Source organism: Homo sapiens, chromosome 7, assembly GCF_000001405.40.
Source record: "Homo sapiens chromosome 7, GRCh38.p14 Primary Assembly".
NCBI classification, from domain to species: Eukaryota; Metazoa; Chordata; class Mammalia; order Primates; family Hominidae; genus Homo; species Homo sapiens.
In genome coordinates, this window is record NC_000007.14 from 74,967,621 (window position 1) to 74,984,132 (window position 16,512).

General features: G+C 51.5%; 1 protein-coding gene across 1 annotated transcript in view, besides 1 other annotated feature; it reads left to right on the forward strand.

The window, feature by feature from the left end:
- CASTOR2 (cytosolic arginine sensor for mTORC1 subunit 2) overlaps nucleotides 1–16,512 on the forward strand; it is a 66,824-nt gene that overhangs the window by 2,916 nt on the left and 47,396 nt on the right. The window lies entirely within an intron of this gene.
- Nucleotides 6,148–6,682: an enhancer, noted in NCBI's record as "H3K27ac hESC enhancer chr7:74387918-74388452 (GRCh37/hg19 assembly coordinates)". NCBI's record gives its function as "activates a minimal SCP1, AML or CMV promoter by ChIP-STARR-seq in primed H9 embryonic stem cells {active_cell/tissue: H9 hESC(primed)}" and the evidence as "EXISTENCE:reporter gene assay evidence [ECO:0000049][PMID:30033119]".

A 16,512-nucleotide genomic window follows, 5' to 3' on the forward strand; every position in this document is an offset into this window, starting at 1 on the left:
CAGCCTCCACCTCCTGGGTTCAAGTGATTCTCCTGCCTCAGCCTCCCGAGTAGCTGGGATTACAGGCATGCGCCACCACACCTGGCTAATTTGGTGTGGAGACGGGGCTTCTCCATGTTGGTCAGGCTGGTCTTGAACTCCCGACCTCAGGTGATCCACTGGCCTCGACCTCCCAAAGTGCTGGGATTACAGGCGTGAGCCACCGCGCCCGGCCCGTTTACAGTTTTGTCAGTCACTCTATAGCATCAAATCATTGACATGGCATTCGAGGCCCTTTGGGATCTAGATCCTGAATCCTCATCTTTATTTTTTTTATTTTTTATTTTTCTCTTTTAGAGACAGAGTCTTGCTCTGTCGTACAGGCTGGAGTACAGTGGCGCCATCATAGATCAATACAGCCTCCAACTCCTGGGCTCAAGCAATCCTCCCACCTCGACCTCCCAAAGTCCTGGGATTACTGCTCCTGGCCTTGAATCCTCATCTTTAGCCCTCCCCCAGCAAATACACAATTTCCCTTATTGTTCCCTACATACCTCTGTGCCTTTGTATCTACCTCTCTTCCATTTGCCTGGAATATTCTCCCCCACCCACCCCTAGTAAATTCCTATTCAGTCCTCAAGAGCTAATGATAGCGCTAATGATAGCACGCTGAAACCTTCCTGAACTTTTCCCTCCGCTCCTTAGCAGGCTTAAGTCACTTCTCTCTCGTGGAGTGGAGTTGTGGAAAGGGAATGGCATTAGGAAACATTCACTCTGTGTTGGGGTGTGGCTGGGTCCAAGGGATGCAGAGATACCTTGCCCCTTCCTCTGCCAAGCCCTAGAGCCTGGTGGAAGAGAAAGAAAGAGGCCATCATTCTACAGCAGGGTGGAGTCAGGGAAGGGCTGGTCTAGCAGGGTACCTAGAACGCCGGGTGCCTACCTGTAGGAGGTGGCACTAGATCTTAGAGCTTTTTTTTGTTTGTTTTTAAGAGATGGGGTCTCTGTTGCCCAGGCTGAAGTACAGTGGCACCATCATAGCTCACTGCAGCCTCGAACTCCTAGGCTCAAGCAATCCTCTCACCTCGGCCTCCCAAGCACCTGGGACTGCGGGTGCGCACCACCACACTCAGCTAATTTTTAAATTTCTTGTAGCGATGGGGGTCTCACTGTGTTGCCCGGGCTGGCCTTGAACTCCTGGCCTCACATGATCCTCCCACCTCAGCCTGTCAGAGGTGCGTGCGGACATAACATTTAAACTGTTACAGGCATGAGCTTACAGGCATGAGCCATTGGCCCTTAGGGCTTTTGAAGTAGGAAAGCCAGTGGCTCACATTTGGAGTTAACTAGTTGGAAGAGAGGATCTAGACCCCAGGACCCCCAGGTACGTTCTGTGTATTAGGTATTAAACCTGCTTTGCAAACCAGGAAGCTGGGGTTCAAAGATTAAGTGACTTGCTCAAGGTCAGGCAAGAAGTGATAGATCCGGGATTTAAATGTGCCAATCTGCACCTTTCTGGCACAAGCTCTGAGATTTTGCTATTGCAGGTTGCAAGAGATGCCCCCATTGAATGGTTATGTCCAGCCCTTCTGTCTACAGCACAGTGTTCTGAAAGGCTTAGGAGCACAGAACTGAAATGCTGGCCTTTCTGTATTCCTGCCTATTTGGCTTTGGTGGGCCTTTTCTTTTTTTTTTTTTTTTTTGGAGATAGGGTCTTCTTCTGTCACCCAGGCCGGAGTGCAGTGGCGTGATCACGGCTCACTGCAGCCTACACCTCCCGGGCTTGAGTGATCTGCTACCAGAGCTGTTTTCTTCTCCCAGGGATACTTGGTCCTTATCACTCCCATCTAGACGGTTACTTCCTTTTTTTTTTGAAACGGAGTCTTGCTCTGTCACCCAGGCTGGAGTGCAGTGGTGTGTTCTCAGCTCCCTGCAACCTCCACCCCAAGAAGCTGGGATCACAGGCGTGCGCCACCACGCCCGGTAAATTTTTGTATGTTTAGTAAAGACTGGGTTTCGCCATGTTTGCCAGGCTGGTGTCGAACTCCTGACCTCAAGTGATCCACCCACCTCGGCCTCCCAAAATGCTGGGATTACAGGCGAGAGCCACCGCGACCTGCTTAGACATTCTACTTCGTTAGAGCCTTAGAGCCTATCTCAGATACTTTCTTCCAGGCACCTTGCGTATTTCTCAACTTTTGCCGATAACAACATGTTATTGGCTTGTCTTTTTCTCTTACCTAGATTATCAACCTTCAAGTTTTTTGTGCATGATTTGATCCACCCCTTCCCACCACATCACCACAGTACCTACCAGTGGTGATGAGAGCTACCGTTGACTTTGCCATATTTTGCAGAGCGGTGAAGACACTAGCTTTGGAGAAGTACAATGGCAAGGTCGCACAGCTGGAAAGAAACAGAATTGGGATTTGAACCAGGTCCCGTCTCCGCTGCGTGTAGCACCCTGCTTTGTAGGCACTTAGTAAACGTCTGTTTGATGGATTTCTGACCATCAGAGTGACCCAGATTTCAACCCAAGTATTTGCCAGAGTCTCATAGGAGTGCCCTGGGGCTGGAAGATATGTCGTTGTAGAAGGCAGGATCACACCTGGTAGAAGCAGAGCCCAGCGACCCTGTCCCGGGTCTGCTGAACCAGGCCTCTGCCCAGGACCTTTGGAGGAGCATCTGGGTGTGGCTGGACTAGGCGAGGAATGTGCTTATTTATTCTCAGCATAAAGCCAGAAGGCAAGACCCTGGGTAGGTCTGTCCGATGAGCTTCCCTTGTCCTCTGTGGTAACCCTGAGGCTCTGTGACCTAGCTGAGGGCCCTCTGTGGCCCACCTCACCTTGTCTCTCCAGCCTCACCTCGAAGCTTCCAGCCACACCCTAGCGTGCCTCCAGCCTTCAGGCCTTTGTTCTTTCTGCCCAGAGTATTACTTCTTGCCTTACCCCTTTCTTCCCCGTGCATCCTTCTAGATTCCATTTCAGCTTCCCTGAGGGCACGTTGGGCTCACTCTTCTTCTGGTAGGACGGGCTTAACTCAAAACGATAAGGCCAGACCCAGTGGCTCCTGCCTATAATCCCAGCATTTTGGGAGGCTGAGGTTGGAGGATCCCTTGAAGCTAGGAGGTTGAGACCAGCCTGGGCAACAAAGCAAGACCCCATCTCCACAAAAAAAAATTTTTTAAAATAACTTTTTAAAAAATAGCCAGGCATGGCGGTGCACACCTGTCTCAGGAGGTTTGGGTGGGAGGATCACTTGAGCCCGGGAATTTGAGGCTGCAGTGAGCTATGATGGCGCCACTGCACTCCAGCCTGAGCGACAGAGACCCTGTCTCTGAAAAATAATAAAAAAAGAAGAAGAAATGTAACCAGGGGCTATCAACAAGGATGCTTTGTGGTTTTTGTTTGTTTGTTTGAGATGGAGTCTCACTTGGTCGCCCAGGCTGGAGTATAGTGGTGCAATCTCAGCTCACTGCAACCTCCGCCTCCCTGGTTCAAGCAATTCTCCTGCCTCAGCCTCTGGAGTAGCTAGGATTACAGGCACCCACCACCATGCCCGGCTAATTTTGTATTTTTAGTAGAGACGGGGTTTAGCCGTGTTACTCAGGCTGGTCTCGAACTCCTGACCTCAGGTAATCCTCCCTCCTTGGCCTCCGAGAGTGCTGAGATAACAGGCGTGAACCACTGCGCCCAGCCAGCAAGGATGCTTTGAGCTACAAACAACAGAAAGCCAGGACATAACCAATAAGAAGTTTGAACTTTGTGTGATCAGAGTTTATGGGTTGGGCTGCCCCAGGCTTGGATAACTTAAAGGCTTGATGAGGTCATCAATTTATGCTTGGCTACCCATGGCACAGAAGCATAGCCCCACTGTGATGGCTGGGGTGGCTCCGGGCATCCTGGGCAGTCAGGAGGAAACTCCATGAAGGAAGGAGCTAACCTTTCTGGGGGTACCCCTATCCCAGCACAGACTTCCTCATCTCATTGGTCAGAACTGGGTCACATGAACATGCCTCAGCCTATCACAGGCACAGGGAATGAGACCATCATGGACCAATCAGGATTCACCACTCAAGGTGGGGCCTGCCATCCGGATGGATGCTCTCCGCCACAGGGAGGTGGGGGACCCAGAAGCTGTGGGCAATGGCCATGTGCACAGTAGGACTGAGGCACTCAGTCCCGTAGCTGACCTACCTGGGACAGGCCTGGAGGCTGACTTAGGTGTGAGGGGCAGAGAGATTACTGTGCACAGACCGCTGTGTGACCCCAGATCTAGGTGGGATCCCGGTGTGCCCCATCTGCCTGGCTTACCCCAACCCCTCTGGAACCTGAACCTACTCCCAGAGTCCCCTCTGTTTTTTTATTAATATTAGTATGGAGACATCTCTTTATTTATTTATTTTGGAGACAAGCTCTGTTGCCCAGGCTGGAGTGCAGTGGCACCATCATAGCTCACTGCAGCCTCAAATTCCTGGGCTCAAGGTATCCTCCTGCCTCAGCCGCCCGAATAGCTGGGACTCCAGGCATGCAGCACCACACCTGGTTAATTTATTTTACTCTGTTTTTAGTAGAGACAAGGTCTCACTGTGTTGTCCAGACTGGTCTTGAACTCCTGGCCTCAAGCAATCCTCTCACCTCGGCCTCCCAAAGTGCTAGGATTACAGGTGTGAGCTACCATGCCTGGCTAATTTTTGTATTTTTAGTAGAGATGGGGTTTCAACATGTTGGCCAGGCTGGTCTCGAACTCCTGACCTCAGACGCTCCACCTGCCTTGGCCTCCCCAAAGTGCTGAGATTACAGGTGTGAGCCACCATGCTCAGCCAAGCAGCACCCTCCTTTTTGCCCATGAAATGCTGTTATCTTTAAATTCCATTCTAGAAAGTCCACTGGATTGGCAAAAACTACACAGGCAAGTATGCAGTAAGCATGGGCCCATGGAAACTTCCTGCTGCCTTCCTGGGCCGGATCTGCTGAATGCAGGTCTCTGGTTTGTTTTGGCCTGCACTGGGTCATTCGTGTTCCTACATGCAGGAAATCTTGCAAACGAGCCATGGTGAACACTAAAGTCTTTTGTTTTTTTTGTTTGTTTGTTTGTTTTTGAGACAGAGTCTTGCTCTGTCGCCCAGCCTGGAGTGCAATGGCGCAATCTCGGCTCACTGCAACCTTCGCCTCCCAGGTTCAAGCAATTCTCCTGCCTCAGCCTTCCGAGTAGCTGGGATTACAGGCGCATGCCACCACACCCAGCTAATTTTTGTATTTTTAGTAGAGACGGGGTTTCACCATGTTGGTCAGGCTGGTCTCGAACTCCTGACCTTGTGATCTGCCCGTCTGGGCCTCCCAAAGTGCTGGGAGGCGTGAGCCACCATGCCCGGCCAGTGAACACTAACGTCTTACGAGGTATTTATGAGAGAAAAGCTTAAAATTGCAAAAAGTCCATGCAGAGCCCTCATTCCTCGCAACACATTGGGCTGAGGCCACTGTCTAATTGCAGTTTAGGGAAAGACAGGCTAGCCCAAGGGAGTTAGAGCCCTGGGACACCTGGGCTGGAATCCCAGCACTGCTCATCCTGGCTGTGTGACCTTGGGCAAGTTGCTTGACCTCTCTGTGCTATGTTTCTTACCTGTAAAACAGAGATGATGATCATGCCTGTAACCTAAGTGGTTGTGAGGGCTTGATGAGATAAACCACGTCAAGCACTCTCAAGGGTATCTGGTCCACTAGAAGCTCCAGTAAGCTTTTTTTTTTTTTTTTTTTTTTTTTGAGACAGAGTCTTGCTCTGTTGCCCCGGCTGGAGTGCAGTGGCATGATCTCAGCTCACTGCAACCTCTGTCTCCCAGGTTCAAGCGATTCTCCTGCTTTAGTCTCCCAAGTAGCTGGGATTACAGGTCTCTACCACCATGCCTGGCTAATTTTTGTATTTTTAATAAAGACACCTGGAACTCCAAAAGTGCTGGATTACAAGTGTGAGCCACTGTACCCAGCCATTAAGCATTAACTGGGAAGGCCCTGGGGCCACTGGCCAGCACCAGTTTGTGAGGGCAGAGCCAGAAAAGCCCAGGCTTAGAAGACTACACACACACATAATCGCATCCTGATTCTGGAAAGTGGAGATGCTGTCACTGCTCTCGCAGAATTAAGCCAAGGACCTCACCTGTCATTTAGGTGTCAGGCCTCTGGCAGGGGCAGCCAAAATGCTCTAGGACCACAGAGCTGCAAGCCAGTAAGGCTTCCTAGAGGAGGCAGCACCATCTGAGCCAAGAATGGGGTGATGGCTGGCATGAGAAAATGTCAGGAGGTGCTGGGGTTAAAGCAAGATGAGCAAGCAGGGAACAGGAGTGGGTGGCTACAGATGGATCAGGGGAGGGGTATAGGTGAAGAGGGTACGGGGTGAGCCCCAGAGCCTTGCGTGTGCCCACTCAGGACAGCCATAGTCTGCTGCTGCCCAGAGAAAGGGGCTGGCTCAACCCTAGCTCCCAAATCTTTTTCCTATGCCTTTTTCCTTTTTCCTCATCTCTTTCCTGAACTATCCAGATATCTTCCTGCCTCCTGCCTCCTGCTTCTAGGGCGGCTCAAATGCTCATTGCTGCCCCATCCCTCTGGGCTGGAGGAGCAAACGCCTGGAGGCTGAAAGAGTAAGTTGTCTGCAGGGAACAAGCCACTGTCCTGTGGCGGGTGCAAATTGGTATGCTCTGTTCACTGAGAAACCCCGCAGTGTATACCTGCTGTAGGCAGGGCCTGATAGGAAGCGCGAAAGGAGTTTCTGTCCCGTGGGAGGAAAAGACGTGAGTCCTGTATGTTCTCCAGCAAAGGTAGAGGGTGAGAGGACCAGAGGCCCACACAGGGGGCATGGCTGGGAGTGCAGGGGCAGGGGGGAGTCTGGGAGGATGGAGGGACACAACTGGAGTGGGTGCTGGGTGGACTTCATGCATTCCTTCAGAAGCCCTGGCCACATCTCTGCCTTGTTGGTTTTGTTTGTTTTTTGAGACAGGGTCTCACTCTGTCACCCAAGCGGGAATGCAATGGCGTGATCTCAGCTCACTGCAACCTCTGCTTCCTGGGTTCAAGTGACTCTTGTGCCTCAGCCTCCTGAGTAGCTGGGATTACAGGCGTGCACCACCATGCCTGGCTAATTTTGTGTATTTTAATAGAGACGGGGTTTTGCCTTGTTGGCCAGGGTGGTCTCGAACTCCTGACCTCAGGTGATCCACCCACCTTGGCCTTCCAAAGTGCTGGGATTACAGGCGTGAGCCACCACTCCCGGCCTGAATCTTTCTTGATCAGATGTCTTCTGTCTATCCACTCTGGCTCTGTCTACTCCCTTCCCAACACATGCCCTATTTTAGGTAACCATGGTAGTTTTGTTTTGTTTTGTTTTGCTTTTGTTTTTGGAGATGGAGTTACACTCTGTTGCCCAGGCTGGAGTGCAGTGGCACGATCTCGGCTCACTGCAACCTCTGCCTCCTGGGTTGAAGTGATGCTCCTGCCTCAGCCTCCTGAGTAGCTGGGGTTACAAGTACCACCACCATGCTCAGCTAATTTTTTGTATTTTTAATTTAGATGGGTTTTCCCAGGTTGGACAGGCTGGTCTTGAACTCCTGACCTCAAGTGATCTGCCCGCCTTGGCCTCCCAACGTGCTGGGATTACAGGCATGAGCACTGCGCCTGGCCAACTGTGGTAGTTTTTAGATTTTTTGTACAGAGGGGGTCTCACTCTGTTGTCCACGCCGGTCTCAAACTCCTGACCTTAAGTGATCCTCCCGTCTTGGTTTCCCAAAGTGCTGGGATTACAGGCATGAGCCACTGCTCCCAGCTGCTGGTGGTTTTAAAAGCTAGGATTGGCTGGGCGCAGTGGCTCACGCCTGTAATCCCAGCACTTTGGGAGACCGAGGCGGGCGGATCACAAGGTCAGGAGATCGAGACCATCCTGGCTAACACGGTGAAACCCCGTCTCTACTAAAAATAGAAAAATTAGCCAGGCGTGGTGGCGGGCGCCTGTATTCCCAGCTACTCAGGAGGCTGAGGCAGGAGAATGGCGTGAAGCCGAGATCGCGCCACTGCATTCCAGCCTGGGCGACAGAGCCAGACTCCATGTCAAAAAAAAAAAAAAAAAAGCTGGGATACCTCCACCCCCCTCTCCTTTAAATGTCTGTCTTGGCTACTTTCTTCTAAGTCACTAGGAGATGGTAAAAGCAATACCATGAGACTTCCGAGGCTAGGGCACGAAAGGATGGCTTCTGCGTGGTGCTCCCTCTCTCCCAGATCCCTTGCTCTGTAGGAAACCAACCCCCAAGGCCTGAAGACACCCAAGCAGCCCCATGGAGAGGCCCATATGGAGAGGAACTGAGGCATCCCACCCCCAACCGGCAGAGCGGGGCTTTGAAAACAGATCCTTCCGCCCCAGGCAAGCCTTCCAATGGATTGCAGCCCCAGCCAATGCCTTGAACTGCCAAGTTCAGCCACACCTAAATTCCTAACCCATAGGAACTGTGAGAGATAATAAAAGTTTGTTGTTGTTTCAAGCCACTAAGATCTGGGGTAATTTGTTATGTAGCAACAGATAAGGAATGAAATGACCCTGCCATTTATCATTGAGATGGGAATAAACTTTTTTTAGAATAGCAGGAAGTACTTTAAATAATTACTAGATTGGCCAAGCACAGTGGCTCACGCCTGTAATCCCAGCACGCCTGTAATCCCAGCACTTCAGGCTGATCGCTTGAGCTCAGGAATTGGAGACCAGCGGAGGCAACATGGTGGGACCCCGACTCTGCAAAAAATACAGAAAAATTAGCTAGGCATGATGGCGCCTGCCTGTGATCCCAACTACTCAGGAGGCTGAGGTGGGAGGATTGCTTGAGCCTAGGAGGTAGAGGTTGCAGTCAGCCGAGATTGCACCACTGTACTCCAGCCTGGACAACATAATGAGACCCTGTCTCCTCCTCCTCCTCCTCCTCCTCCTCCTCCTCCTCCTCACCATCATCACAATAATAACAACAACAACCTGCAGACAATAGGGCAAACCTGACCATGTGATCACCCTACCTTTAGTCCAGCCAGAGAAGTCTTGTGAGTCCTTAAACCTAACACAGACACTTCTTGAGGTCGGCTTCAGCATCCTCTCCTCCAGGAAGCCACCCTGGTGCCTGGTGAGTGGCTTCCTGGGATCACCCATGCCTCAGTGTGCAGGATGAGAGGGCTGGTCCTGATCCCCTTCTGTCCTCACCCCCAGGTCCATGTCCAGGGCTTAGGACTGGTCGTCCCTTGGTGTTGACTCATCTCCCAGGGATCAAAAAAGTCAGTTGTAGCTGGGCGCAGTGGCTCACGCCTGTAATCCCAGCACCTGTGGGAGGGCCAAGCGGGTACATCGCCTGAGGTCAGTAGTTCGAGACCAGCCCGGCCAACAAGGTGAAGCCCTGACTCTACCAAAAATACAAAAATTAGCTGATGTGGTGGTGGGCGCCTGTAATCCCAGCTACTGGGGAGGCTGAGGCAGGAGAATCGCTTGAACCTGGAAGGCAGAGGTTGCAGTGAGCCGAAATCGTGCCACTACACTCCAGCCTGGGTGACAAGAGTGAAACTCCATCTCAAAAAAAAAAAAAAAAAAAACACCTTGTAAAAGGTTTAATTGGTCTCTTCTGAGCCTGCACACGGCTGGAAAGGTTTTCTCTTATAACAGATCTGCAGTATGAAAAACCAGCCCAGTTGCATCCGTTCTGGGCCAGTGGGATTCTGGGTGTCCAAGGTCCCTGTGGGCCATCCACGGTGCTAAATTGAAACTTTTTGAAAAGCATTTTTTTTTTGAGATGGAGTCTGGCTCTGTCACCCAGGCTGGAGTGGAGTGGTGAGATCTTGGCTCACTGCAAACTCTGCCTCCCGGGTTCACGCCATTCTCCTGCCTCAGCCTCCCGAGTAGCTGGGACTACAGGCACCTGCCACCACGCCTGGCTAATTTTTTTGTATTTTTAGTAGAGACAGAGTTTCACTGTGTGAGCCAGGATGGTCTCGATCTCCTGACCTTGTGATCTACCCGCCTCAGCTTCCCGAAGTGCTAGGATTACAGGCATGAGCCACCGCACCTGGCCTGAAAAAAATTCTTGAGACAGGATCTCACTGTGTCACCCAAGCTGGAGTGCAGTGATGCAATCTCAGCTCACTCCAGCCTCGATTTCTCAGGCTCCAGCAATCCTCCCTGCCTCAGCCCCACTGAGTAGCTGGGACTGCAAGCACTCGCCACTACACCCAGATAATTTTTGTTTTTTTTGTAGAGATGGGGTCTCACTATGTTGCCCAGGCTGGTCTCGAACTCCCGGGCCCAAGTAATCCTCCTGCCTCAGCCTTCCAAAGTGCTGGGATTACAGGTGTGAGCTACAGCGCCTGGCCTAAATGGAAAACTGGTGTCTAGGTGCCATATTCTCAGGCTTGCCCTCACCATAACACATTGAACATACTCCAACCTCTGAGCTAGATCTCTGCTTAAAAACCTGAGGTTTTGCTTGCACACCCCAATTTTTTTTTTTTTTTTTTGGAGACAGGGTCTTGCTGTCACCCAGGCTGGAGTGCAATGGTGCGATCTTGGCTCATTGCAACTTCCATCTCCTGGGTTCAAGCAATTCTGGTCCCTCAGCCTCCCGAGTAGCTGGGATTACATGTGCACGCCACCACGCCTGGCTAATTTTTGCATTTTTAGTAGAGACGGGGTTTCATCATGTTGCCCAGGCTGGTCTTGAACTCCTGACCTCAAGTGATCCACCAGCCTCGGCCTCCCAGAGTGCTGGGATAACAGGCATGAGCCACCGCGCCTGGCCATGCACCCACATTTACAGCAACCTTATTCACTAAGGCCTAAAGATGGAAGTGACCCAGGTGTCTACTGATGGATGAACAGATCAACAAAGTGGGATGTATTCACACAAAGGAATATTATTCAGGGGGGAAAAGGAAGGAAATTCTGACACATGCTACAACATGAATGAACCTTGAAGACATCATGCTGAGTGAAATAAACTAGTCACAAAAGAACAAATACTGCATGAGATCCCACTTGTATGAAATACCTGGTGTAGCCGGAGTCATAGAGACAGAAAGAATGGTGGTTGCCAAGAGCTGGGGAGTTGGTGTTTAGTGGGTATGGAGTTCCTGTTGGGTAAGATGAAGAGTTCTAGAGATGGATGGTGGCAATTGCTGTCCGTATTGAAAATGTGCTTAACACGATTGAATTGCACACTTAAAGATAGTTAAGATGGTAGGTTTTGTTGTGTGTATTTTACCACAATTAATAAAATTTGAGGCCAGGTGTGGTGGCTCATGCCTGTAATCCCAGCACTTTGGGAGGCTGAGGTGAGTAGATTGGTTGAGCTCACAAGTCGGAGACCAGCCTGGGCAACATGGTGAAACCTCATCTCTACAAAATATACAAAATGTAGCTGGGCATAGTGGCGTGCACCTGTGGTCTTAGCTACTCAGGAGGCTGAGGTGGAAGGATCGCTTGACCCCGGGAGGTAGAGGCTGCAGTGAGCCGAGATTGTGCCACCGTACTCCAGCCAGGCAGTAGAGCCAGACCTTGTCTCAAAAAAATAAAAATAAAAATTAATGTTTAAGATTTTATTTTATTTTAGATTCAAGAGGTACATGTGGATGTTTGTTACATGGATATATGGCATACTGGTAGGGACTGGGCCTCTAGTACGCCCATTACCCAAATAGTGAACATTGTACCCGATAAGTAATTTTTTTAACCTTCCTCCCCTTCCCAACCTCCCCTCTATTGGAATCCCCAGTGTCTGATGTTCCCATATTTTTTTTTTTTTTTTTTTTGAGACGGAGTCTTACTCTATTGCCCAGGCTGGAGTGCAGTGCAATCTCGGCTCAGTACAGCCTCTGCCACCTGGGTTCAAGTGATCCTCCTGCCTCAGCCTCCCGAGTAGCTGGGACTACAGGCATGTGCCACCACACCCAGCTAATTTTTGTATTTTTTAGTAGAGATGGGGTTTCACCATGTAGGCCAGGCTGGTCTCAAACTCCTGACCTCAGGTGATTCGCCTGCCTCGGCCTCCCAAAGGGCTGAGATCATACGCGTGAGCCGCTGCTCCCGGCCATGGCAGATCCTTCTTGAACACCCACTATGCATGAGGCCTCCGCTGGGAGTTCCCATCATTCACCCTCATAGCAGCTCTACAGGAAGGAGCTGTCTGCCCCCAAGTCACACAGTGGACAACAGCAGTTTGGGGGTCAGCCTTGGCCCCCCCACTCCGAACTCCTCGCCGCCTATGCCCTCCACTCCTTTCCACTGTTAACCCAAGATGGAAAAGCTTATGCCAAGGGTCATTTCTCAGGATATGCACATAACAGGAAAATGTGTTTTTATCCAAATTCCCACAACCCACCAGCCATGTGATCTTGGGCAACTTAGAACCTCCAAGGAGGGTCTGGCTCTGTTATCTATGCTAGAGTGCAGTGGCATGAGCATAGCTCACTGCAGCCTCAACCTTCCAGGCATAAGCAATCCTCCTGCCTCAGCCTTCCAAGTAGCTGGGACTACAGGTGTGCACCGTCATGCCCAGCTAATTTTTAAAAAAGATTTTTAGTAGCAACAGGGTCTTACTATGTTGCCCAGGCCAGTCTCAAACTCTTGAGCTCAGACAATTCTCCTGCCTTGACCTTCCAACGTGGTAGAATTATAGGCGTAAGCCACCACACCGTGGCCTGGTTTCATCTTTAAAATAGGGATAAGGTGAAGCATGGTGGCTCACACTTGTAATCCCATCACTTTGGCAGGTCGAAGCGGGAGGATTGCCTGAGCTCAGGAGTTTGAGATCAGCCTGGACAGCATAGTGAGACCCCATCTCTACCAAAAAATAACTGGAGATAACACTATCAACATCTTGGGTGGTTGTGAGAATTAAATGGGGAATTTTATGTTAGGGACTTAGTGAGGTGTTGATTACATAGTGAACCTATTATTCACAGAAATTCAATGGATGTTTTGAGGTGCCCTCTACTTGATGCAAGCCTCGGCGAGGTGGCAGTGGTGGCCTCTGTCCCCATGGCACAGATGGTCTGTTCTGCTTTGGAAGCACTGGAAGAGCACATCTGACAATTGCAGGATGGCTGGTTTTTATTGGAGGAAGGGAAGCTGTTTATTTGTTTCAGATTGGCTGAGCTGTGGGGATGCGGGAGGCTGGCAGGAGGGGAGGGGTCTATAGTAAGGAGACTGGAGAAACTCTGGGGGCCAGGCAGGCAGCCCCCTGGTAAGAGCTGCTTCTTGGAACACAAAGAGCCGTTGCGTCCTCCAGCCGGCCTTGAGGAAGGTGTGACTTCTCTGCTCCCAGCAATGTCTTGGGCACCCTTCTCTGCCCTGCACACCAGCTCTGCCTGCAGGGTGCCTGGACACTCTGGGTGTCTACTGTGTCCCCATATGGTGCTTGCAAGTCTTCCTCCCAGACTGCCCCCTGCTTCTGTGTCCCCTCCCTGGTGCACAGCACCACATCCAGCCCCCTTCCCACCCAGCCCACCCAGGTCCTGCCCACGTGACCCCCAGTCTTTCTCCAGTCGCACCTCCTCTGCACGCTGACCGCCATGTCTTGTCCTCTTTTTCTTTTTTTTTGAGACAGAGTCTTGCTCTGTCATCCCGGCTGCTGGAGTGCAATGGCGCAATCTTGGCTCACTGCAACCTCCGCCTCCCGTGTTCAAGTGATTCTCCTGCCTCAGTCCTCCCTGGGACTACAGGGGTACACCACCATGCCTGGCTAATTTTTATATTTTCAGTAGAGTCAGGGTTTCACCATGTTGGCCAGGCTGGTCTCGAACTCCTAACCTCAGGTGATCCACCCGCCTCGGCCTCCCAAAGTGCTGGGATTACAGGCGTGAGCCACCGTGCCCAGGCTGTCTGCTTCTATTCTAGCTCCCCGACTCCTGATCCCCTGACCCTGAGGCCTCAGGACGAAGGTCTCATCCCCTCCAGGCAGGCCCTCCTTGGCAGGGCAGCTTCAATTTGTATAGGAATCAAATCCATCCTGTTGGGGTTTTACCATGTTCCCCAGGCTGGTCTTGAACTCCTGGGCTCAGACAATTCTCCTACCTTGGCCTCCTAAAGTGCTGGGATTACAAGTATGAGCTACCATGCCGGGCCTATTTTTTTTTTAATAATTTTTTTTTTTTAATGTGGGAGAGTTCAAATGTGAAATCAAGGCCCGGTGCGGTGGCTCACGCCTATAATCCCAGCACTTTGGGAGGTGGAGGCAAGAGGATCGCTTGAGGCCAGGAATTCAAGACCATTTGGGGCAACATAGCCAGACCCCGTCTCTACAAGAAATTTTAAAAATTAGCCAGACGTGGTAGTGCACACCTGTAGCCCCAGCTACTCTGGAGGCTGAGACAGGAGGATCACTGGAGCCCAGGAGTTGGAGGCTGCAGTGAGCTATGCTCACACCATTGCACTCTAGCCTGGTTGACAAAGTGAGACCCAGTCTCAAGAAAAAAAAAAAAAAGTGGGAAGAAGCGTACCCCACCACACTTCTTCTTTGGGGTTAGAATTTTGGGCCTGCACTGGAATGTGGAACGCTGATAGGGGATGGGGACAGGTGGAGGTGTCAGGGGCGCCCTCAGACTCTACCCTCCTTCATTGCCTTAGAGGTGAGGCTGGGGAACGACCCTGGGGTAAGGGGTTGCCCGTGCCCACTCCCCTGCATGCAGGAGCTGGATCTCTGCTTCACTCTTCCCCTTTCCTGATGGGAACTTGCTCCTGCATTTGGCCCCTGGGCCTCTGGGTAACCTGCCCCAGCCACCCAGGGCTTGGCCCCAGGCGAGTGCATCTGTAAGGGCAGATCTCGCGGTGAATTTCCTGGGTGACTCCTTTGCACACACCCAGGCTGGACTCCCTCCACCCCCTCCCAACTGAGCAATGCTTTGGGGCTGTTTCGTCCACTAGAGCAGCACAGTCAAGAATGAGGGGGTGTATGGGCTGGGCGTGGTGGCTCACGCCTGTAATCCCAGCACTTTGGGAGGCTGAGGCAGGCGGATCACAAAGTCAGGAGTTCAAGACCAGCCTGGCTAATATGGTAAAACCCTGTCTCTACTAAAAATACAAAATTAGCCGGGTGTGGTGGTGCATGCCTGTAGTCCCAGCTACTCGGGAGGCTGAGGCAGGAGAATTGCTTGAACCCGGGAAGCGGAGGTTGCAGTGAGCAGAGATCACACCACTGCACTCCAGCCTGGGCAACAGAGTGAGACTCTGTCTCAAAAAAAAAAAGAATAAGGGGGTGACACCTCAGAGAACAAGCTGCAGGCCTGGTGTCACCTGCAGATGACAAGGCTACCGTATCCATTCCTCAAGCCAGGCCTCTGAGGAGCCCTGGTGGGTAGGGTGCTGGAGGGAGAACTCGAGCTTGCAGGCAGTAAAACGCATTTTTTTTTTTTTTTTTTTTTGGTGGCGGGGACAGAGTCTCACCCTGCCGCCCAGGCTGGAGTGCAGTGGCGCAATCTCAGCTCACTGCAAACTCTTGACTCCTGGGTTTGAGCGATTCTCCTGCCTCAGCCTCCCGAGTAGCTGGGATTACAGGTGTGCACCACCACACTCAGCTAATTTTGGCGTTTTTAGTAGAGACAGGGTTTCGCCATGTTGGCCAGGCTGGTCTCAAACTCCTGACCTTGGGTGATCAACCTGCCTCAGCCTCCCAAAGTGCTGGGATTACAGGCGTGAGCCACTATGCCCGGCCACATTTCTTTCTTCTTCTTTTTTTTTTAATCTGTGCTTTTCTCCACCCTCTTCAGACTTTGTTCTAGTCTACAATTTCCCTCCTGCAGCTTCTCTCTGATGACGTCCCCACCCAGCCCGTCAGTCCAAATTAGCCTGGTTTAACTGCGTTTGTCAGTTTCTGTAGAAGAATGAAGAAGGTGATAGCACCCACGTTATAGGGCTGTTCACGGGAGGTTGAAGTGAGATCTTACAGAGAAAGTGCTTAGCAGGTGCCCCAGGTCCAGAGTGTGGGGTTGGCTGTGAGTCGTGTGCATCTCCTGCCCTGACCCCCTCTGCAAGCTTGGTTCTTGAGTGCTTGAGTGAGGCACACTTGACCTGCTTATGTGATTCCCATGGCACCATGGTGTGGGGAATGTCTCCCAACAAGACACCTTATCAAGCGCTCTCTCTCCACTCTGCTGTTCCTACCACATATTCCCAGGCAGGTCACCCTACCTTTCTTGTTTTCTTTTGAAGACAGGGTCTCGCTCGGTCACCCAGGCCAGAGTTCAGTGGCAAAATCATAGCTCACTGCAGCTCCTGGACTCAAGGGTTCCTCCCGCCTCAGCCTCCTGAATAGCTGGGGCCGCAGGTGTGTGCCACCACACCTGGCTAATTTTTACAATATTTTGTAGAGACAGGGTTTCACTTTGTTGCCCAGGCTGGCCTCAAACTCCTGGCCTCAAACGATCCTGCCTCGGCCTCCAAAAGTGCTGTGATTTCAGACGTGAGCCACCTCACCTGGCCTGACCCGGCCTTTCTGAGCCTTCAGCCCTCATCTTTGTCTGGGGGCATTCTAAA